Source organism: Homo sapiens, chromosome 3 (assembly GCF_000001405.40).
Source record: "Homo sapiens chromosome 3, GRCh38.p14 Primary Assembly".
Taxonomy (NCBI): Eukaryota; Metazoa; Chordata; class Mammalia; order Primates; family Hominidae; genus Homo; species Homo sapiens.
In genome coordinates this window covers 13,067,916-13,089,270 of record NC_000003.12, presented here as the reverse complement: position 1 = coordinate 13,089,270, position 21,355 = coordinate 13,067,916, and the positions used below count along the sequence as shown (strand labels likewise).

Sequence of the window (21,355 nt, the reverse complement as noted above, 5' to 3'; positions counted from 1 at the left end):
GTTTCATAGTATGGACAGATCGCATTGTTTATCCATCATCTGTTGATGCACACTTGGGTTGTTTATATTTTAGGGCTGTGTGGTTTTATAGTGACAAGTGCTAAAGTAAAAGGCCAGGATGGGGTGTGGCAGTGTATTTTGGGGAGGGGCCCAAGGGGGCCTCCTGGCCAATAGGAGAGGAGTGGGCCAGGCCAAGTCAGGGCATATGTCCAGCGGTTACACACCTGTCGTTACAATACTGAAATCTTTTCATGCCCCTGGGTTAAAGCCCACTGTCTGGACCCCCAGAGGGGCTCCCACTGCTGCTGTCTCTGTCCAGCCCTTCTCCTGGCCCTCTTCAGATGTCCCTAGGATCTGCAATAAAGGAGTTAATACTTAGCCTAGCAGGAGGTGTTTTGGAGTGGTGGGGGCCAGTGCCTGTGTTAAATATTTTGAATATCCCCCTGGGCAAAAAGCATGACACATGCAAAGGCCCTGGGGCAGGAGAGCCTGGAGCTGGAGCTGGAGAAACTGCAACAGGCCAGTGTGCCCGAGGCAGAGTTAGGAGGAGGATAAATAAGGCCCAGGGGGTAAAGCAGGGCCTGTGGATCATGGCAAGGATTGGGGTTTTTATTCTGAGTGGGGTGGGGTCCCCGGGAGGGTACTGAGCAGAAGAGGGCCATGGTCTCATGTAGGTTCAGCCAAAGGATTGGTCTGGCTGAGAGCTGAATCAAGGAGGGTAGGGAGGGTACTAAGGCCATTCAGAGGAGCGGGGAGGGCGACAGGAACCAGGGAGGGGTGTGGAGGCTGGGAGGAGTGAGAGTGAGTGGGTGGGGGCCTGGAGAGAGCAGGAGTGGGGAGGAGCAGGCTTCGGGAAGCTGGTGGGCCTCGGCATACTAAGCTTGTGCTCTCATAGATGTGGTGGAGGTATCTGGACCTCAGCCCTGCAGTGAGCAGAGGTCAAGCGAGGGCGTCGTCAGCATGCAGGTGCTGGGTGAGCACATGCACGAATGGCCAGCAGTTCCTCTTCCCCCTCCACTTTCATCTGTTCCTTCGCCACCCACTGCGTTAGCACGCTGCCCTGCTTTAAGCCCTGGGGACTCAGCAGTTACGGGACAGACATGAAACTAATCCAGTGTGAGAAACAGATGGTAAACACACAAAGTGATCAGTGGGTCACAGAACACCAGGCACCAGAGAAGAGAAACAGGGAGGGGCTGTGTTAGACAGGGTGGGGGGACTGTGCTCTAGTGCTGTGGTTTCAATTTGTCCCCCAAAGTTCATGCATTGGGAAGTTAGTCCCCAGGGCAGCAGCGGTGAGGGTTGGGGCCTTGAAGAAGGGGTTGGGCCAGGAGGGGTTCATGTTAACTCAGAAGTGGGGTAGTTGTCCTGGGAGCGGGCCCTGATAAACAGGATAAGTTCGGCCCCCATCCCTCCGTAGTGCTCTTTGGCCCTTCCACCTTCTGCCACGGGAGGATGCAGCAGGGTGGCCCTTGCCAGGTGCAAGCCCCTTGACCTTAGACTTCCCAGCCTCCAGAACTGAGCAATAAGTCTCTGTGAGTAATACATTTATAACTACCCAGTCTCAGATATTCTGTTACAGCAGCACAAAATAGACGAAGACAGCAAGTGATCCTGGTTTTCCGTTTGTGGTAGTGAAAGAAAAACTCCCTTTCAAATGCATTTAACTAAAAATAGTTAAAAGAAAAACATGACTGGGATAGTGGTGCAGAGGCTCTTAGCAAATTGCAAAGTCATCACGGCTGTCAAGGTTTGGGATTGATTCACGGTCTCCTCCCCTGCCAGCCAGGTTTACCAACCCATTTTGCAGATGAGGAGACTGAGGCTGAGAGAAGCGAAGGGGCTTGTCTGCAGACCTCCTGCACACACTCTGGGGCTCTTTCTGCACCGAGAGCCTCTCCTGCACCAAGAGGCAACAATGCAGTTCTCTGAGTTATTCTTTCTTGCTATTTCTCTTCCTTTTGGTGGATGAATTTGGGAGCTCTTTAAAACATCAGGGGAACTTTCTAGATGCAAATATTCCATCCAGCCCATTAACTAAAGTCGCAGCAAATAAACTGTAATCACAAGACCTATTATTAGTGTGGATTTGAAAGTAATTACCCAGTGTAGATTTAGACTGTAGGAAGAATGTTGTCTGGGGTGGGATTTTCACCAAACCTTCAAAGGGTGTGGCATGTGAAATAAGTAGAGCTACAGTGTGGCACCCACGATCCCCTGAACCAGCTGGGGGTGAATGAGGGAGTGTGGCTTGAGGTCATTCATTCGTTTGGTTGGCAAACATTTATTAGCACCTGCTGTGTGCCAGGCCCCATTCAGTGCACTGGGGGATGCCACGATAACCAAGACAGGGGGTGACCCTGCCTTGTGGACAGGATATTTTCTTGAGAGAAGACAGATGTTGAGAAAGAACAATTAAACAGGATGCCTGTAAATGGCCTAGAGGAAGTAAACTGGGTGAGGAGACAGTGCCTGGGGGCTACTTCTTCAAGGGTGCTCAGGAAGGCCTCCCTTGCAGGTGATTGCTAAGCTGAGACCTGAAGAGAGAGCTGTGCAGAGAGCTGAGGGAGGGAACAGCAGATGCAAAGGCCCTGAGGCAGGAACGAGGCTCTCATGGAAGGGAGCAGGCAGGTGCGGGGTGGCAGAACTGTGGGGCAGAACCAGGCTTTCGGTTCTGAGTGCAGTGGGAAGCTGGCGGGATGGGTCTGATTTGCATTTACCACGATACACCGCAATACAGAAATAGGCAGTGGCTCCAACCAGGGTGAAGAAAGGCCCTGACCCTCCCAGGAAAAAGACGCCCGCTGGTTCCCAGCCCTGCAGGTGGCTCTGTGTGCCAGTTTCTTCCACACCCATCTCCCAGCGCTGAACCAGCATGGAGACTGAGGTAGGCTTTCCAAGGCCAACAGTGCTGTCATGATGATGGTGACAAGCAGCCCTCACTGAGCATGTGCTGTGTCATCCCCGCCACGGTGGGCACAAACCGGCATCATCTCCTGTCACCCTCCTCAGTCTGTCCATTCTGGGTAAGGAATCTGCCTTTCCCATTTTCCATATAGGAACTAAGACTCAGAGTCAGCAGCCCCTTGCCCAGGGTCATACAGCAGGCAAGCGGTGATCAGAATCTGAGCTGAGGTCTGAGGGCAGCATCCATGCCTGCTGTGTCCTCAGCTGCCTACCTCACTCTGCCCCAAAACAGTCTCTCTAGTCTGGGTGACCAGCAACCTCAGTCCTCCAGCGCCAGCCCTGCGGCGGCCCAAGTTACCAGCCAGACTGGGGGTAGAGGAGAAGTGTGCAAGCAGAGGGGCCGCGTGGAGCCACCTTCCAAATTCCCTCCCTGGGTAAGGATAGCGGGTGACAGCCACCTGCAGGTGAGGACTGTCTGAAGAGAGAGGTGAAGACACTATGTCTGTGTTCCCCGCAGGAAGGGCCTGGGCAGCCTCGAGAGCCTCGCATTGGCCGATAACCACATGCCCCTCAGGCCAGCGACGAGTCTCAGACGGAAGTCCAAGACGTGGCCTCGGGCCTCCTGTCCGTCTGTGAAATGGGGTAACAGCACGTGGGCCTGAAGGCTTCAAGGGGTTCACTTTGGTAACGGCTATTCTGTCACAACCACTAGCCTGTAAAACTGGAAAGAGGCTATGAAGGGGGAGCTGTTGTCAACCGTGGGTGCTCACTCCAGCAAGGACCCACCTGGCTGCAGCTGGACACCCCGTCTCCTGCAGGCTCTGCTGGCAGGGCTGCCGTCACGGAGGCCTAGTTTTCTGGTCCTTAAACACACTATCCTTCTTACGTCAGAATCCCAGGATTGAACGAGTATTGAAGGTGACCCTACGCACTGAAGGGTTCCTGTCTGCCATGAAGCCCCGCCCTCCACGTGACCCCTCTGCTTGCACAGTTCCCATGACAAGGATCTCACTCTCTCACCAGGCAGCTCTGATAAGGGTGCTTGCCCCGACCAGAGCTGAAGTCAGCATCCTCCTAACATCACCCTTGCTGCTACTGGGGCTGCTCTGGTCGGTTCAGTTCTGTGCTGGCTGAGTGACACAGAGCAGGTCTCTTTGTGTCTCTGAGCATCAGTTTCCTCATCTGTAAAATGGACTCAGTAATAGCTTTCTTCATATGGCTGTTTGGGGCATCCGAGGAGATGTCGTAATAAGCGGGAGTTCGATAAATGCTAGCACTCTTCCCTGTTCCTCTTTGTTCGAGGGTCCTATCTATGGCCTCTGAGCCCAACAACCTGTTTTTCTGTCCGAGGACAACCCTACCCAAGGACTTGGGGGCTAGAATTGCCCCCCCACCCCACCCCGAGGCTGTTTCTTCTTGTTGGTGACATTTTCAGGCCTTTTGCATCCCATACACTCCCTCTAATCATAGCCCAGGCTGCCCTTATCACTTTCTCAGGGCAGGAACCAGAGCTGAGCTTGAGACCCAGACAGGGTCTGAGCAGGACTGGGAAGACTATCGCCTCCCCAGTTCTGGGCATAGATCTTGGTTACTACGGCCAATGATCCTGGGAAACCGCTTTGTACCAGTGACTTCTGGTGAGCTGAGTCGGTTCAGAGCCTGAAGCTGGGCCCATCTCCCCTGTCCTCAGTTCTGCCCATCCCAGAGTTCTAGGCTTAGGCATCTGGAATGGCAGGCAGGAGAATGGGACTGGCAGATGCTGTTGACACTGTTTCTGCCATCAGAGTGCCCAGGGCCATCATGGCACCCGTCATCATCTGATGTCCGTCTCCTCCACTGGACGGTCAGCCCCACGAGGCAGATTTTTATATCTGTCTTATTCACTGCTAAGTCCTGGTGCCTAAAACTGTCTGGCACACAGTAGGTGCTCAGTAAAGTTTGGATGAATGAATGAACAGGCTACCCCCTGGGATGTTGCCAGGCCAGAAAGAGCATCCGGACACAGGCTTTGAGCTGAGTATGTCAGGGGGGATGTGGGGTGTGGAAGGAGCTTTGGGGGCCCCAGACTCCACACCACCTATGTAGTGATGCCCGTTCCTTGGGCTGGGTGACCTGCCGTGTGCCCCACGCCTTACTTAGCCAGGCCCCAGGTCGTCAGGTGCAGCTGCCCTCTGAAAACCCCACCTGAGCTGGAAAAACCCACAACCCCCACCACAGCTGGGACCAGCTGAGTTCTCTTCTTTTTCTACCTTCCACCCCACCCTAGAAACCACCAGAAGAGGAACAGAGACCCTGCAGGAGGCATGAACTCAGCCATGCGCTTGGAGCCCCTGGTACATATGGCCTTCCGCCCTCCCCTCAGTCCACCCCTTCCCCTCACCTCCCTGGGGAAGGCTAGGGGATGGGGGGAAGGCTCTCTCACTGGAAAACCGCGTACTCCTCCAGGGCAGGACTCTGGCATGAAGTGGGGACCGAGAGATATTCACTCAACAAATAGTCGCTGAGCTCGGCTCCATGCCAGGCTGCGCACAAGGTGCTGGGGAGACAAGGAGAAAGTGGAGCGAGATCTCATCCTCAGGTCGCTGACACTCTGTATGCCAGGTGCCGTCCCAGCTATGCACGGGACATGTGTCCCCTCATTTATTCTCCACAGCTCTTGGAGGAGACACCATTTCATGCCTGTTCTCCAGATGAAGCATCTAGCAAGGCTGCCTAGAGACCCTGCGGCCACAGGCCAGGCTTCTGACTGCAACGCAGGCCCCGAGGCCTCTGCTTTCAGCCAGTCTGGGATGGGCATTTGTGCAGTGGGAAATGCACACCCAGTCAGAGTACCCTCCCAGGTACACTTATCCAGCAAGCCAAATGTGCCACCCCATTGTTCAGAGTAGGAAGAGGAAGAGGCCCAGAGAGGCTGAGTCGTTTGCCCAGGGTCACACAGCAGGTGAGTGGCAGAGCTGGAATTTGAAGCCCCGTCTTCTTGACTCCACGGTTGTTATCTGCTGCCACACTGCCTCTCAGTGGGTGAAGGACCAGTGAGTGACTGAGGCAGGGACTCAGATCCTGGGAGAATGTGAGAACTGCCACCTTCTCTCAGCCCCCATCTGCATTAATGGGAGACAGGGTAGGCACGTAGGTCCTCTCTCTCCTTGAACACTAGTGTCACTCAGCTGCCAACTTGTTCAGTCCACGGGCATTAATTGAGCACCTGCAAGTTATCAGGCACAGGGGATAAAGCAGTGACTGACAGACATTGTCCTTGCCCCCACCAGGCTCACATTCCAGTGGGGGAGGTGGTCACATGATAGTAAACCAGTGTGTAATTATTACAGAGTCCCTTCTCAGGTCGACGACTGTGAGGGAGCTGGCGGGGCAGGAATAGACACTCTGCCGTGCCTGGAGCCACAAGAAGGAGCCAGCAGTGAGTGTGGGAGGAAGAGCATTCCCAATGAGGGTGGCAGTCGTGCAAAGGCCCTGGGGCCGGGAAGAGCTTGGGAGTGGGGGGCTGACAGTGGGCCCCTTGGCTGGAGTGGCATGAGTCGGGGCATGGCCGGAAAGGAAGATGAAGGTCAGGAGGGGCAGGGGGAGGCGTCCGCACAGGTCTCCGAGAGCCAAGGGTGACCAGCACTGGGTTGGAACCAGAGCTACGACATGGTCAGGTTTCAGGTTAAATAGATCCTTCCCAGTGCGGGGCTAGGGGTGGTTTAGAACAGTAAGAAGGGAGGCAGGAAGGGGCCCAGCATGGCAGCCAAACTTGCAAGGAGATGCTGAGAGCCCAGTGACTGACAAGGCAGAGAGCTCCTGCCTCTGACCTCCAGGCTGGCCAGGTGGGCACCTGGGCCCTATGGCCATGCAGTGCTCAGTGTGAAAGCCCATAGAGAATGCCCGCTGGGTACCAGGCCAGCTGAGAGGCTGGTCTCACTCTGACTTCAGCACCCCAGCCATTGTAGCGGTCCAGGCCTGCGCCTTCCTCCCCAGCCCTGACCTGAGGGAACTGCAGAAGAAGCTTAACTGCCCTTTGTCGGGGATAAAAAGAGAGTCAGGGGTGGTGAGACTGTGTGTGCCCAGCGGTGTGCAGGGTGATGATAAGCACTCGGCAGCCATTTGCTGTGATTAGCACCTGCACACATTAGATCATCAGACTGTCACAACCGACCGACACGTTGATTCCCTTATTATCCTCAGTTTTGGAGATCTGCCCAAGGTCACACAGCTAGTAGGTGACAGAGCTGGGATGCAGCACTCCAGAGACCACATGACCACACGCTGCTGCCCTGCGCGACTCGGGGGCCACTGCTTCCACTCAAGGATAAAGGAGCTGCACCCATGGAGTTGGGTAGTGCACAGCCTGCACCCCTCGTGCTGCCCGGTGGCCCTGCTCTCATTCACCCCACTCTACCGACCCCTGCAGTCTTTGGTCGCCTTTGTCGAGCACCTGTCATGCAGCACCCACTCCTTTAGCACATCAAGTGCATTCAGTCATTTGGTATTCACGTCAACCCTCTGTGAACGGGAGGACCAGAATAGATTCTTAGAGAGGGAAAGCAGGCTCAGAGAGGAGCGAAGACCCGCCCAAGGTCACTGGGCCAGGCGGTGTCGGAGCCAGCTTCAAACCCACATCCGACTCCACCCCGTGCACTGGTCCCTGCAGAATCCCAGCCTCCTCTCCCTTTTAGAATTAGTTCATTGGTGTTTTCAGTGATTTTTAGATGACTGAAAAATTTTTGTAGTAATATATTTTACTTTTTTATATATTGTTAAGCCTGTTGTAGAAACTTTGAAAAATAAAGAAAATTGAGGCCAGGCATGGTGGCTCATGCCTATAATCCTAACACTTTGGGAGGCCGAGGTGGGAGGATCCATTGGTGCCAGGAGCTTGAGACCAGCCCAGGTGCCAAAGGGAGACCCTATCTCTATAAACGATTTAAAAATTAGCCAGATGTAGTGGCATGTTCCTGAAGTCCCAGAACTTTGGAAGGCCGAGGTGGGAGGATTGCTTGAGCCTAGGAGTTTGAGGCTTCTGTGAGCTGTGATTGTGCCACTGTACTCCAGACTGGGCAACAGAGCAAGATCCTGTCTCTAAAACAAAAGTAAATCAATAAAGTTGAAGGAATAAATAAAGCTGACCAGTTATTCTGCCACCCAGAGATGCCAACTTTTATTGGTGGCATGTCTGTGTGTCCTTCCAGATGTTTTTCTAGTTGTGTGTTATGGACACGCTGTTATATTCATACTGACTATGCACTTATATAAGCTGCTTTTTTTTACGCAGTCATCAAGGTTATTCCCAAACATTGTAAACATCTCTTTTAAAGGCTGTATAATATCCCACTGTATGCAGAAACCTTGCATTTTTAGCCAGCTCCCAATATTGGACATTTACCTTAACATTTGTTTGAGCTTTTAGCTTGTTTATTGTTGTTATAAATAATGCTGTGAAGAACTTCTTTGAGCATAAAGCTTAGCCCTTATTTTGGATTCTTTTTTACTAAGAATGTTGTTCTTGTATTAGCTCAGATCCCCGGGGAGGAGGGCAGGGCCTGAGTCACTGTGGCGGGACAGGACAGACGGCAGATCCCCTGGAACAGCGGCAGGGCGGGGGCTGGGGAGCACAGCCCAGTTCCCAGGCTGAGGCTGAGGCAGGGAGGGAGCGCACTTGCCCAGGGAAGTGGCCGTTGGAGGGTAGGTGGGCAGCTGTGGGTAAGGATGCCTGCTGGGTTTCTTCCCACCCCTGCAGCGGCTTTTGCTGTTCCCTTAAATGTCCATGTCCCCAGGGCTCTGTCTGACCTCTCTTCACCCCTCACACTCTCTCCTCTCTTCTCCTGCAGGGCTGAGCCTCCAGCCAGACGCTCAAAGCCTCCTGGACTCTTCCCCAGGGGTCTCCCTGGCACCTCACAAGGGGGCAGGGGTTATATCTCCCTCCACCCTGCATCTCTGCCTGTGTCCCTGTATAGACAAAGGGTGCCACCATCCACCCAGTCGACGAGCAGGTGGATGCCTTGTCCCCACCCCATCTCTCCTCTCCCACCCACACTTCTCCCAAAACACCTGTTCTCTGCATCCCCACTCTCATGCCTCAGTGCAGGCCTCCACCTCTTCCCTCCAGACTCACCATCCCAACCTCTCCTCTGGTATCCCAGCCTCTAATCTCTCCCCACTAATCCTTCCCCCATGAGGGGATCTATTTAATCACAAACCTCACCATGTCCCTCCTCTACTCAGAAACCTCCTGGAATGCCATTACCCGCATAATGAAGCCCAAACCCCTGGCAGGTTGTCTCATGACTTTCTGCTGCTTTTCACCTCCAAGCCTCTGCACATGTTGTTCCATCTGCAAGCAATACCTTTCCATGCACTGTCTGCCTAACAAGCTTCTGGCCACCCTTCAAGACTCTGTTTCAACATCTTGTCCTCCAGGAAACTTCTGTTTTTCCTTGCTATATCTCTTTTTCTCAAAAACCTTGCCCCTCCTTCCCTCATCTTACATAGTATTATTTGATCTACATTTCCATCGAAACAGTCAGTTCTACCATATTATAACTGTGATCATGTTCGCTCAGTATTGTGACTATTACAAGGTACTTGCATTAGAACGTTTGGTTCTGTGTGACAGTGAGCCCGCTTCAAACTGGCTCATGTAAAATGGACATATGGGCGGCATAACCTCCAGGTTTCAGGTGTGGCTGGCCCAGGGCTCCGGTGATGAGAACCTGCAGCCTCTCATGCAGGCTCCTCCCCATGGGGGCCCCAGTAAAGAAGGGGCCTCTATCTCTCAGGGGTAAGCTCAGGTCCAAGGTGGGATGTTCTCTGTCTCCACGACACTGGCAAACCTCTGGGCCTGCCTCTCACAGCCCTGCTTGAGTCATGCCCTGGTCCTGGCTCCCCCAGAGTCCCAGAGATTAAAGAAGCGGCAACCAGAAGGAGGCAAGTGGCTGGGCAGGAAATTTGCTGGGTGTCCACCACCGCCCAAGGCATGCTGCTCCCTTCCTCCAGGCAGGAAATGGGGCCTTGGCTCACCTTGTTTCCCATGCCTGGCCTGGGTCTGACCCAAAGCAAGCATTGGTCAGCACTTACGGATGCAGGACTGGGCAGATGGAGCGTGAGGTTTAGGAAGGCTCAGGGCCACAGGGATGGGGCCAGGCAGCCAGTGGCCTATGCTTGCCGGTCCCTCCGCCCTACACACAGCCCAACTCCACGTGCACATCTGTGCTGACTCAGCCTCCACAGGCCCGGCCCTGCTCTGCACCTATCCTGTCTGGCACCCCAACATCAGTGCAGGAGTTGCCAGGTTGGGACACCCAGGGCCTTGTGAGGGCCTCAGGAGAGCAGTGCTTCTCTCTAAATCGTACTTCTTTGAATGTTTATTGGTGGAGGAAAGTGACTAGCACGTGGAATGCACAATTTACAATACTGATAGAAAAGATCTGCTTTAGTGAAAATTATTTTAAATTGAGATAAACATATTAGGCCAATATGAACACAGGAAGGGTGAGAAGTAGGGGCAGAAGGGCGGTTGGCACAAGGTACGCCAGGCTTGGAAGAACCCCCTGGGGCAGCTGGGAGAGGGAGGCACCAGCCCTGCCCAGCCCAGACCTCCGGCTCCAGCGCCCCATGAATGTCCCTCCTGTGAACTCTCCAGCTGCCCTGGCTCTAAAACAACTGCAACAGCAAAGCAAACACCAGCAGAGCACGCAGCTGGATGGGCCCTGGTCTGACTGCTCCACTTGTGTGCACTCACGCAGCTCTCACCTGCAGGTGGACATAGATGCCCTGTTAATCCCGGCATCTAGATGAAGGGCTGCAGTGGGGTCCCCTTCCAAAATCCCATAGCTGGTGGCAGAGGAGGCTCCTGGCCTTCCCCCCCAGGCTACACTGCCTGCTGAGAGGTGCAGGGTTTGAGGGGAGAAAGGAGGGGTATGGCAGCCGTTGGGTGCGGGAGGGAGCCCACATCCTGGGGCTCTGTCTCTGCACGCAGGGGCCCAGCATCTCTGATTTAGTGTCTGTGGCTGCTCCATCCTGTCCTGCCATTGGCCACCACTTTTTAATGATGCCTTCTCTCGCTCACATTACACCGCCCTGCATCCTTCAGGGGCCTCTCACAGGCTCCTGAGTAGAGGCTTAGAAGCACAGGGGCTGCTCTAGGTGCCCTCTGCTCATGTGTTCACTGGTTCTCTCCCCAGGGGAGCAGGACTCTTGAGTCCTGCAGCAGCCGAAGCATCTCAAGCAGCATCTGTCTCCCACGCCCCCTTCCTCCAGCCAGCGTGGCCCCGTGCAGCGTGAGCTCCTGCAGGGAGTGTCTGCAGGGCCACAGCTCCCTCACTCATCCGCGGCCCCAGCAGGCTCCATTGGCCACGGCCGTCCTTGGCACAGTCAGCAGCAAACCTGGCAAGGCGGCAAGTGGGGACCGATGCCAGCCCTCGTGGCTTTCAGATCTCCATCAGCCAGGACTCCAAAATAGCATCGAGAAGCAGTGGATGTGCTCCATTTCAGGAGCATATCAAGGACTGCTGCTCAACTGTTATAGGGCCAGGGTCTGATCTTCTCCCCCAAGACAGGGGACAGGGCACCTCAGTGATACTTGGTTTGCTGCAGAGGGAGGTGTTTGCCAGGCTTCCAGAAGCCCACACACATTTCCAGAGATAATTGCTTCCGGCTGCTTCCTCCCTCCGTCAGCCACCTGCACGTGAGGGGTGGGGCTGGGCAGAGATGTTAGGAGGGCCCTGCACGAGCCTGCCAGCGAGGTCCTCCCAGCACCAGAGCCCGAGCCCATGTCTATGATTAGAAAAGCCTGTGATTTGGGAACTCAGCATGGAAGAGTCTGTGGTTTAGAGATTCCATGATTCAGTCTTCCAGACATAATGCCGAGTGGGGAAAGAGTTGCAGAAAAAGATATGCAATGTGATCCTACTTATGTAAAGTTTAAAAACGTGCACAAGTGTTTATATGGTTTGTGGATACCTCTCTATGCAGGAGATTCACTACAGAGTGAATTCACCATGGGGATGGGAGGAGGGCAGGGCTGGCGAGGGGATTTAACAGAGGTGGTGACCCTGGGCTTCCATCATATTCGTCATGTTCTGTTTCTTGTAGTGGGTCAGGGGTATATCAGAGTTCACGGTATTCATCTTTATGCCTTTTGGCACATTTTAAATCTTTTATTAAAAAATTCTTAATATTCTGGGTTTGGTGGTGCATGCCTATAGTCCCAGGCTAAGGCAGGAAGATCGCTGAGCCCAGGAGTTTGAGGCTGTAGTGTGCTATGGTTGCTCCCGTGAAAGCCACTGCACTCCAGCCTGGGCAGCATAGTGAGACCTTGTCTTTAAAAAAAAAAAAAAAGAAAGAAAGAAATTTGTAAAATGATGCCATTTTTTTTAGGGTCTATGTAATACTTCCTATTTTCTATAGGCATATATATGTAGATAAATGCATAGAAAAAGTTCTGGAAGGATCCACTCCAAACAGATGACAGCGGTCACCTCTGCAGAGATTGGAACGGGGAATAAGATTTAGGAGGGTGGGAGGTAAAGGGGGCTTTATTTTGTTTAAAGAGAATACATTTTCTTATCATTTGTGCAGTTAGGATTTCATTTCTTTAAAATGTGAAGCTTCAGCTAAAAGAAAATAAAGTCCCCAGACTTGAAGACTGTGTGGTCCTGAGATTTAGAGTCAGAGTGTTGACGGCTTTGCAGTTCCACAGTTGGAACGGAGCAGCGGGGGTGGGGGGTTCACTTCTGCCCAGCCCTGGATGAAGATCCTGAATCCCTGGGATTCGGGGCTCCCTGCCTTGAAGAGCTCTGTGACTGTCAGATCTGTGGACTGCATGCTCCAACCTTCTCCGTCCTCCCTCTTCCCAAATGCTGTCATGTTCCTCCCACCTTGGGGACAGATGGCCGCAGGTTGCAGGAGTGAGCCGATCTGCAGGAATGTTCCTGCCAGCCTGCAGGGTGGAAATTTTCCCGTTGAGGGAAGGGAGATGGATGTGAGATGTTTCTGGACTTACCCCTTGGCAGCTGCTCTCACCTTCTGATCCAAGCGGCTTCCCACAGTCCACAATGATGAGGCAAGGGCAGGGGTGAACTTGGGCACTTACAGAAACTCCAGGGGATGAAAACGCTGTCTGAATGCTAGGTTCCCACTGTGCCTTAGTCTCCAGCCTGCAGAGGTGGGTGAGTGGGTGGATGATTCTGTGATATAACCAGGGTCACAGGGCAGCAACCCCAAGGCTGGCTGCCCCTGCTTCCCACTCCAGACATCTGGTTACAACTGCGAAAGTGAGGAAAGTGGACAATTCCATCCAGAGTTCTGTAGCTCCACTTCTTATGTGATCAGGACCCTCTCACGACCACAGGCTTTGCATCTGGGAGGTGTGGCTGACAAATCTGCCCTGAGATTGGATGTCGAGGGCTTGGGGTCATGAGGTAGGTGAAGCTCAGCCTGCACAGGTGGGCGCGCCCCTTTTCTGAGACTCTCTGACCTCTCACTGCCTGAAGGGATGAACTTGTGGGTTCCGTAGTCAGAGATCAGAGTCGGAATCCCAGCTCCACGCTTTTTGGAGCCTCCTCTGTGCCTGGTCCGGCGCTGGATATTGAATGTCAGAAATCAAAACCGCGCCAGTGCAGGTGGGTTGTAGGCACTACCCACGTGCCCTGTAAATGATGTTTTGTAAAAGCCTAAAATCTTGGCATTTGTATCTGAATGCCAGGGTCCTTGCCATTTCCTCTGCTTTGAAATAACAGCATAACATGGAAGGAAAAGGAGAGTACGTTTATAAGAAGAAGTGCTGAAGAAGCAACGGATGTGCAGATGCATGTCATGGGCCTCCCAGGGAGCAAAAGAGGAAGCCCAGGAAAGGGACACTGGGTGCTCCACACTCAAGGCATCCAATTCACCACTCTGAGCCTGTTTCCGCCTCTGGAAGATGGAAGTGAGAAGAGAATCGCTAGTTGAGCAAGGCGGCTGAGAGGGGCATTGCTCTAGCCCGAGCCAGGCTGTGAGTTAGTCTGGGCTCTGCTGCTGCCTTGATGGGAGACCCCCGTATGTGGTGCAACCCATCTAAGCAGGAGTGGTAATTATGTTCACTTCGTAGGGCGCTTCTGAGAATTCACTGAGACCATGAAACAACTGGACCTGACACAAAGTGAGCCCTCCTGATGCAGTGGCTGAATTTTGATGTTATTAAAATCTTTTGAAACTCCAGTGAGGAGAGGGGTGGGGTGGGCTCTGCAACATGTTAACCCACAGAAATATGAATTCCTCACATGACTCAGGGAGGGAGGTCCGTGCTACAGGAAGATTGGTCATGCATATGGATTCACCTGGAGAGGGCAGATCGGGAAGCGTCATGCAGTTCTGTTCGATGCCTCACCTTGGCCACCTGAGGCCGCAGCTCCAACCTCTGCTCCCTACCAGGACACTGAGCTGGAAGACTGGGGTCCTAGTCCCACCTCTGCCACTCTTTGCTGTGCAACTTTAGGCAAATCGCTCACCCCCTGAGGTTCATTTCCTCCCCTGTAAAGGATGGAATGGAACTCAAGGATGCAGCATCACTCCTTCTAAATTCGGTGAGTGTGAATCTGGAGAGAATGGAAAGAGGAAGGGAAATGGCCCTGTGGGCTGCCATCCACATCCAGCCGATTCCCAGTCTCAACTACTCCCTCTCTCATTTATTCCTCCCAGTGAGGCAGCTTTCAAGCAGTCAAGAACCAAGACTCTGGAGCCAGACTGCCCGCCAGCTATGTGGCTTGGGCCAGTTGCTGAACCTCTGGCTTTAATGCGCTCCCCCGTGAAGTAGGATGATAGTATTAGGCCTCATTGGGGTTGTCTTGAGGATTACCGTGCACGGAAGAATATTATCTACATGCCTCTGAGATAGGTCTGGGATTCCTGGTTTACAGATGAGGAAGCAGAGAGGATCAGATGAACATCAGACAGGAAGAGAGAAATCTGTGTGGGAAAGGCGGGTGTGGGAGCCGAGGATGGATGTGCGCTTCTCCCCTCCACCTCCCTGTCGCACACTGCACCACGCTGGCCTCCTCTGGGCCAGTCAAATACACCAGGCTGCCTTCCGCCTCAGAGCCTTGACGCCAGCTCCTCCCCTGCTTCTTGCGTCATCCGAGTCTCAGCCACACGTGCCTCACAGAGGGCCTTCCCGACCACCCCGTCTGATGGCAGAAGCCTCCTTCCCGCCTCTCTTGGGGTCCCTGCCTCCCCTCTTCCTGCTCTCTTTTCATCCTGATCCTTATCACCACGTGCAATCCTATATCTGCACACTTACTTCCTGGCTTCCCCTTAGACTGTAAACATCATGAGGGCAGATACTTGCCCGGCACATGGAAGGTCCTCGGGAGAGGAAGAGGCACCATAGCTAGACCAGAAATTCTCCCTAGCCACGTGCAGCCCCCTTTGGGACAGGACTGGCACAAACGAGGACTGCTCTGCCATCCACCGTGCAGCTACTGGCGTGGTGCGCCCTCCTGGAACCCCGTGGTATAGCTGTTATGATCCCTTTCACAGTAGCATAATCAAGACTCCCAGGAGAGACGCGGCTTGCCAAGGTCTCATCGCCCTTCAGTGGCAGAGACAGCCTTGGAGTCGGCCGGCCTCACTCCAGGGCCAGAGCCCCGAGAGCTCCGCGGCTCGCGTGTCTCAGTGCCGAAGGCAGAAAAGCCGCCTTGGAAAGTAGTGTCATCGTAGGCTCCGCGCGGCGCGTGCATTTTAGCAACAGACTTCCAGGTTTCCAGCGCGGGCCAGGAAGGGGCCGGCGCCCCGCGCCCCGCCGGGTGTGTGACTTTGCCGCGAGGGCGCAGCCGAGCGGCCGCGCCTGATGCTGCTGTTGCCATGGCGACCAGCGCCTCGGCGATTGGTCCGGCGCGGCCGCACTACGTTGCTCCTTGGGCGCGGGGGGTGGGGGAGGCTCCGGCGCGCCCGCCCCTTCTCCGGATGCTGCGAGAGCAAACCCGGGGCAGCCTTCTCTCGACCCTCCCCTCCTCATCCCCGCGCCCCGCACCCCGGATGGACGGGAGGGAAAAACCCCAAGGTGGGCCCAGGTAGCAGCGAGGTGGACGCCCCCGCCCAGCCTGGCGACCACGGTTACTCGACGTCCTCGCTCGCTCCTGGGCACGGTGTGAGCGCGCGCTACGTGCCAGGGCCCTCCACAGCCCGCTGCTGGCGCCGCCCCCCGCTCCCGCCCCAGCCTCCCTGGAGGAGCCCGCCACCCCCGGGAATGTGACTCGCCCCGCGATTTAATTTTATTCCCCTCCACTTCTTGCCTGAGCCGCCTGCTCCTCTTGGAAACACGTTGAGCCTCCCCGCTGGAGAGGGAGCCAGAACAGGGAAGAACGGATTCACACAGGATGGCTTGCAGAAGACGCTATTTGTGAGTATATGTGGCAGGTTTCTGCCTGAAGCCAGAGGCCAGAGGGGCCCGGCTGAGCTGGGAGCTGGAGTGAGGGGCATCGTTGGGGGAGGGGCAGGTGGATGTGCAGGTGACTTGCAGAGGGAGCTGGCCACCCAGCAGGGATGCCGGCGCTCGGCCCCTGCAGCGGAGGTGTTTGTTGGTGATGACGATGAGAAAAAGGCTATTAGTCAGCAGGTCTTCAGCAGGCTGTGAAATTCCCAACTGTGAGAGCAGGTATCCCCCCTCCCAGATCCACATTCAGGGTGCCCAGACCGGCTCCTACTGTTTTGGCTTTGGTTTAGCCCATAGCCTGTTTAGGAAGAGAATCTCTGCCCAGCACGCCCATGGCCAGCCCTTCAGCCATGCCTGATAGAAGGTCGCAGGCAGGCTGAGGCAGTGGCCAGGATGCTGCGTCCTCCAAGGGCAGGTGAAGGTCCAGCCCACCGTCCCTAGCACGGAGGCATCAGTGTCCAGCTGTGTGCCCAGGTGTTCTGTGGGCTGGCAGCAGAGCGGCTGTGTGCTGGGCCTCACGCCAGCAGCAGAGGCTGTGAAAGTCTGCACGGGGCGGTGACATCACGGGCCCGGGTATTTATGGAAACCAAAGCCTGCGCTTCGGTTAGCCAGGCTTCCCAGGGGGCAGTGGGGTTCGAATGCCAGCTTCCCTCACAGCTCTCTGGGCGCTGCACTGTGCTGTTCTAGGAGGAGCAACCTTTGCCCTCCTCTGGGACCCTCGGCTGCGGGGGTTGAGGCCCAGCGTCAGGTCTCCACCTGCCTAAACTATTTGCCCAGGACCCACTCATTTGGGGCTGTGCAGTGACCTCAGACCTTAGGAGGTTAGAGAGCATGGCTGAGTCCTCTTGAGCTGGGCTCAGTCGCAAGGCTAGGAAAAGGAGGCCTGGAGCAGTATGTGGGGAGCCTTCTGGGGGCTACCCCAAGGCCTCCCTAATCGATGGAGGCCCCTTACCATGGCAGGGGCCTGTGGAACCCCTGATAGAGTGGCAGCTCCCCGTCACCTCCACTGAGGGAAAGTAAACACACCTCTGCCTCTGCTGCGTCAGCAGTGCCAGGCGGCAACCCACGGGGGATGGCGGTGGCCTCTGGTTCGGGGGATGGCGGTGGCCTCTGGTTTGGGGGATGGCAGTGGCCTCTGGTTTGGGGGATGGCAGTGGCCTCTGGTTCAGGGAATGGCAGTGGCCTCTGGTTCGGGGGATGGCGGCCTCTGGTTTGGGGGATGGCGGTGGCCTCTGGTTCGAGGGATGACGGTGGCCTCTGGTTCGCTGTGATGCTCACTTGCTTTTTTAGTGGAGAAGCTCACAGGTTGGTTTGTCGATGCGAGCAGAGCACACCAAAGTTCTCACTCCCTGTGGCAAGGCCCTCGCTGCATTTTCTGAAACAAATAGTAAATCCTTTCCCAGCGTGGAACTTCCACCCCAGTGGCTGGGAATAGGTCCTCCTGAGACAGCTGTCTCCTCCCTGCCACACCTTTGCCTGGGCCCAGGAGCCTGATGCCAGAGAAATTCTAAACTCTCAGGGCTGTTACATCGGGGAGGGGAGATGTCATGAGGATGAAATGTGACAATTCATATTCAGATTACTTGGCCCAGTGCCTGCTTGCCTCCAATGCTCAGAAATGTCATCCTCACAAAGGCCTTGTCTGGGCAGGCACTAAGAACCCCATTTTAGAGATGGGGAAACTGAGGCTCAGCACAGTTCTACTGGAACCCTGGAGTATACTAGCCTGGGGTGGGGGTTGTAGCCCAGGAGCTATACTGGAATCACTTGAGGAGCAGTTAAAGAAACAAACAAAAAAAAAAAAACAAAAAAAAACTGTGTGGGTCCCACCCCCAGACATTCTGGTTTCTAGGTTTGGGGGAGGGCTCAAGCCTCAGGATCTTTTTCATTTTCCGGATGATTTTAATGTCCAGGTGTGGTTGATGTTCCCGTGATGCAGCTATTCACTGTGGCTGCGTTGCCCAAGCCTATCCAATTGCAGTTTTGCAGGGACAATGTTCTATATGGATTCCAATACTCTTCCCTGGAGAGTCTGCTTCAATCTGTTGGGGGCCCAGCCACCTGCATTTGAACACGTGGCTCTGGTGGATTTGCTGATTCCTGGAATAAGCTCGTCTAGCCTTCCTGCCTAAGAGAGGGGCTGGCCCGAGGGGGCTTAGCGCTCACTGTCTTTCTTTTCTGTGGGTCTTTTCACTCTTCTCCAGCTCTCAGGCTCCCAGTCTGAGCATTGTGACTCCCAGGCCATCCCCGCTCTGCCACCAAACCTATTGGCACCAGAAATACCAAAGATACTTGGAGGGGGTGGCTCTGTTTGTACGCAAGGATCTTGTAACCAAGAGCAGGCCTTTCCTGAGGTTACCCTGCTGCACTTGATAAGCCTGTGTTTGCCCACCATTACTCCCCACCCAGAACCCGCGGCAGGCCCACTTCTAGGCCCAGGCTCTCCCAGCACCTGCTGCTCAGACCTTATTGTTACCCTGCCTTTCAGTGTGGAAAGGAGATGGGGTGTTGAGCATCTCTAGATGTTTAACTTTCCCAACAGTTGCACTGTAGCCACTATCAGAGCTGCCCAACTTGATTGCAAAGCGTTCTCATGCTTAGTTGCCTCATGGGGTCTCACCAACTGCTGTAAAATGTGATACTGTCGATCCCGTTTTACAGAAGAGGAAACTGAGGCTCAGAGAGGGGAAGGAACTTGACTGGGGTCACACAGCTGTTTCCTGCCGTACATTTGGCAGTGGTGTCCCTTCCCCAGCATGCCACATGTCAAATCGGGACAGACTTGCTCCAGCGGCCCTGTGCATGGCACAGCCAGGCTATCCTCAGCCTAGTGGAGCCCTGCCGGCGGGCCCCCACCCCCACCCCACTGTCCTCACTCCCTAGCCTCCATTTTCGCCACTTCCACTCTCTGGGCCCCTGGTGTGCACCCAAGGGAGCTTTATGGAATCGAGACTCTGTCCCGGTCAGGGCTCAGTCCATCGTGAAGGTGGCACACTGGATGGGATAAAGGATGACAACAAAAGCAGGAGAAGATTTCTTAACCCAATGGGGGAACATCAGGAGGCTTCCAAGAATCAGACCCTGAATCAAACTTGCTAACACCTGAGGTCATTGCTGTACTGGCAGCTTCATGAATGGTGTCTGAATGAAGGATGGCCCTCAATTCTGTAACTACAGCATCCTTTTCATCATCTCTGCAAGGGGCCCCTCTGTCCTCATGGGCATGTCACATCCTGTCACTTGAACACAGGAAGTGAGGCTGTGAGGAGTTTGTGGTGTGTGAGATGTGGGCTGCTTGGCCAGGCCAGTGGAGCACTCGCCTACCCATGCCTGTTCAATCATTCATTCACTGCCTGGAACTGTCCCGACCCCTCTCTTCCTTCTGTTTGGGGGACATGATGACCTGCCGGCCCCCGCAGGAGGCAGTGGTCTCCCTCTGGTGGGATGCCCTGACCTGCTGCTTGCAGTGGGGCCTTCATGAAGGAAGCGAAGCCCTGGTGGGTCTCCCCTAGACAGAAGAAGGGACACTGGTGGGACTGGGCCTGGAACATTCCACACACACACACACCTCCAAGAAACTTGTGCATTGAGCCTTCACCATTATCACCTTGGCTGGGTCAGTTCTGCAGGCACAGTTATCAGCATCTGCTGGACAGTGGGCCTGGGCTGGATGCCAGGGAAGAGCAGCCCCAGCCCACCGAGAGAGATGCAGGGAGGGAACCGGAGGCCCAGTCTTCACTCAAGCACGTGTGATGACCGGTAGCCTTTCTTGCCATGCAGTGATCACTATTAAAAATGGTTATTATGAATGACCCACACAGCACTGGGCTATTTTCCAAGAATGCTGTAGCATCTATCCACCCTTTACAGCCCCAGGAAGCCACTGGGCAGGTCCTGGTTATAACTCAGAAAGACTGGGATATGCAGCCAAGGCCGCATAACCAGGCCTGGGCCTTCACTTCCCTGCCTTCAGCTAGTGTTCATGGTGCACCTGCTGTATGTCCAGCTCAGTGCTGGGAACCACTGAGAGGGTGCTGCTCTCAGGGGATACTGCAGGGGAGAAGGACACAGAGAAATGAAGAAGATAGAGAGCCCAATGGGAATGGATTGAGTGAACTGTGTGGCCACTCAGGAAGTGAGGAGGGCTTCCTGGAGGAGGTGACCTTTGAACAGAAATCTAAATGATTAGGAGGAACTATCCAGGAGAAGAGTGGGGGCCCCGGGTGCAGGGGACAGCAAGTGCAGAGGCCCTGGTGAGGGCATGCTTGACAGGATTGGGCCACAGAGGGAGGATGGTGTTGCTGGAGCAGAGTGGACCAAGAAGAGAGGTAAAGGGGCTGGGGCTGTTCATGGAGGCCCTGGAGTAAAGAGTCACATCGTCATGCTGGAAGCTAAAGATATGAAGAAAAGACTGGGGGTTAAAGAGGTTGGGGAACTGCATTGGGGCCTCCCAACCATGAGGGGGTGTCATGAGCCTGGGGCCTGAAAATTCAGAGGCCTGGCCACTGCCTCTGCCCCTTTGCAAGGCCAGGGCCCAGGCCTGCTCCCCGTTGTATACCCAAAGCTGGCATGGCCTGGCATGATGTTGGGACTTAGAGACCCTGTCTGGGGTGAATTTTAGAGACTGAGAGGAACAGACTTTTCTGGTAGTTGCTGGACAGGCAGGGCAACAAGTAGCGTCTGCTTAGGCAAGCACCTACCTCTGACCCACCTGCCACCATCTTCCACCAAAGGATCCGTGAAGGACAGGTCCGACATCCACATCCTCCCTGGGCCTCAGAGGAAGCGTAAGGCCTGGATTGGCCCCAGCCCCGGGGCAGGACCCTGCTGGGCCTTGGTCAGCCCATGGTCAGCATCTTTTCCCAAGTGCCCCAAGCACAGGCACTGGGCCTAAGCCTCCTGCTCTATGTGGTGGGGCTGATACTCCCCTTCCAGGGTTTGCCTGCGGGCCAGCAAGCAGGCTGGGCCCCAAGCTCAACAAGTGTCACGCCATCCTTGTCCCTCCCTGGAGGCCCTTTGTTGAAGCCCCCCAAGGCCCCCTGT

The 21,355-nt window shown here is 54.8% G+C and overlaps 1 protein-coding gene across 12 annotated transcripts in view, besides 11 other annotated features; it reads left to right on the top strand.

Annotated features, from left to right (window-relative positions):
- The window catches only part of IQSEC1 (IQ motif and Sec7 domain ArfGEF 1), a 386,215-nt gene that overhangs the window by 193,987 nt on the left and 170,873 nt on the right, over window positions 1–21,355 (top strand). For 6 of the 12 annotated variants that reach the window (XM_047449358.1, XM_047449357.1, NM_001134382.3 and 3 more), the window contains exon 1: window positions 15,842–16,279. The exons of the other annotated variants lie outside the window; for them this stretch is intronic. In XM_047449358.1, coding sequence (XP_047305314.1) covers window positions 16,257–16,279 — 23 coding nt within the window. In that variant the 5' untranslated portion in view covers window positions 15,842–16,256. Of the gene's footprint in view, window positions 1–15,841; window positions 16,280–21,355 lie in introns of those variants that run through there. 12 annotated transcript variants of the gene reach the window in all.
- Window positions 429–928: an enhancer, noted in NCBI's record as "H3K4me1 hESC enhancer chr3:13129843-13130342 (GRCh37/hg19 assembly coordinates)". NCBI's record gives its function as "activates a minimal SCP1, AML or CMV promoter by ChIP-STARR-seq in naive and primed H9 embryonic stem cells {active_cell/tissue: H9 hESC(naive and primed)}" and the evidence as "EXISTENCE:reporter gene assay evidence [ECO:0000049][PMID:30033119]".
- Window positions 1,569–1,628: an enhancer, noted in NCBI's record as "active region_19483". NCBI's record gives its function as "activates an Ori minimal core promoter by ATAC-STARR-seq in GM12878 lymphoblastoid cells {active_cell/tissue: GM12878}" and the evidence as "EXISTENCE:reporter gene assay evidence [ECO:0000049][PMID:35858748]".
- Window positions 1,649–1,738: an enhancer, noted in NCBI's record as "active region_19482". NCBI's record gives its function as "activates an Ori minimal core promoter by ATAC-STARR-seq in GM12878 lymphoblastoid cells {active_cell/tissue: GM12878}" and the evidence as "EXISTENCE:reporter gene assay evidence [ECO:0000049][PMID:35858748]".
- Window positions 1,789–1,848: an enhancer, noted in NCBI's record as "active region_19481". NCBI's record gives its function as "activates an Ori minimal core promoter by ATAC-STARR-seq in GM12878 lymphoblastoid cells {active_cell/tissue: GM12878}" and the evidence as "EXISTENCE:reporter gene assay evidence [ECO:0000049][PMID:35858748]".
- Window positions 5,324–5,393: a silencer, noted in NCBI's record as "silent region_14083". NCBI's record gives its function as "represses an Ori minimal core promoter by ATAC-STARR-seq in GM12878 lymphoblastoid cells {active_cell/tissue: GM12878}" and the evidence as "EXISTENCE:reporter gene assay evidence [ECO:0000049][PMID:35858748]".
- Window positions 8,089–8,588: an enhancer, noted in NCBI's record as "H3K4me1 hESC enhancer chr3:13122183-13122682 (GRCh37/hg19 assembly coordinates)". NCBI's record gives its function as "activates a minimal SCP1, AML or CMV promoter by ChIP-STARR-seq in primed H9 embryonic stem cells {active_cell/tissue: H9 hESC(primed)}" and the evidence as "EXISTENCE:reporter gene assay evidence [ECO:0000049][PMID:30033119]".
- Window positions 8,589–9,090: an enhancer, noted in NCBI's record as "H3K4me1 hESC enhancer chr3:13121681-13122182 (GRCh37/hg19 assembly coordinates)". NCBI's record gives its function as "activates a minimal SCP1, AML or CMV promoter by ChIP-STARR-seq in primed H9 embryonic stem cells {active_cell/tissue: H9 hESC(primed)}" and the evidence as "EXISTENCE:reporter gene assay evidence [ECO:0000049][PMID:30033119]".
- Window positions 15,467–15,646: a silencer, noted in NCBI's record as "silent region_14082". NCBI's record gives its function as "represses an Ori minimal core promoter by ATAC-STARR-seq in GM12878 lymphoblastoid cells {active_cell/tissue: GM12878}" and the evidence as "EXISTENCE:reporter gene assay evidence [ECO:0000049][PMID:35858748]".
- Window positions 15,767–15,926: a silencer, noted in NCBI's record as "silent region_14081". NCBI's record gives its function as "represses an Ori minimal core promoter by ATAC-STARR-seq in GM12878 lymphoblastoid cells {active_cell/tissue: GM12878}" and the evidence as "EXISTENCE:reporter gene assay evidence [ECO:0000049][PMID:35858748]".
- Window positions 19,270–19,439: an enhancer, noted in NCBI's record as "active region_19480". NCBI's record gives its function as "activates an Ori minimal core promoter by ATAC-STARR-seq in GM12878 lymphoblastoid cells {active_cell/tissue: GM12878}" and the evidence as "EXISTENCE:reporter gene assay evidence [ECO:0000049][PMID:35858748]".
- Window positions 19,450–19,529: an enhancer, noted in NCBI's record as "active region_19479". NCBI's record gives its function as "activates an Ori minimal core promoter by ATAC-STARR-seq in GM12878 lymphoblastoid cells {active_cell/tissue: GM12878}" and the evidence as "EXISTENCE:reporter gene assay evidence [ECO:0000049][PMID:35858748]".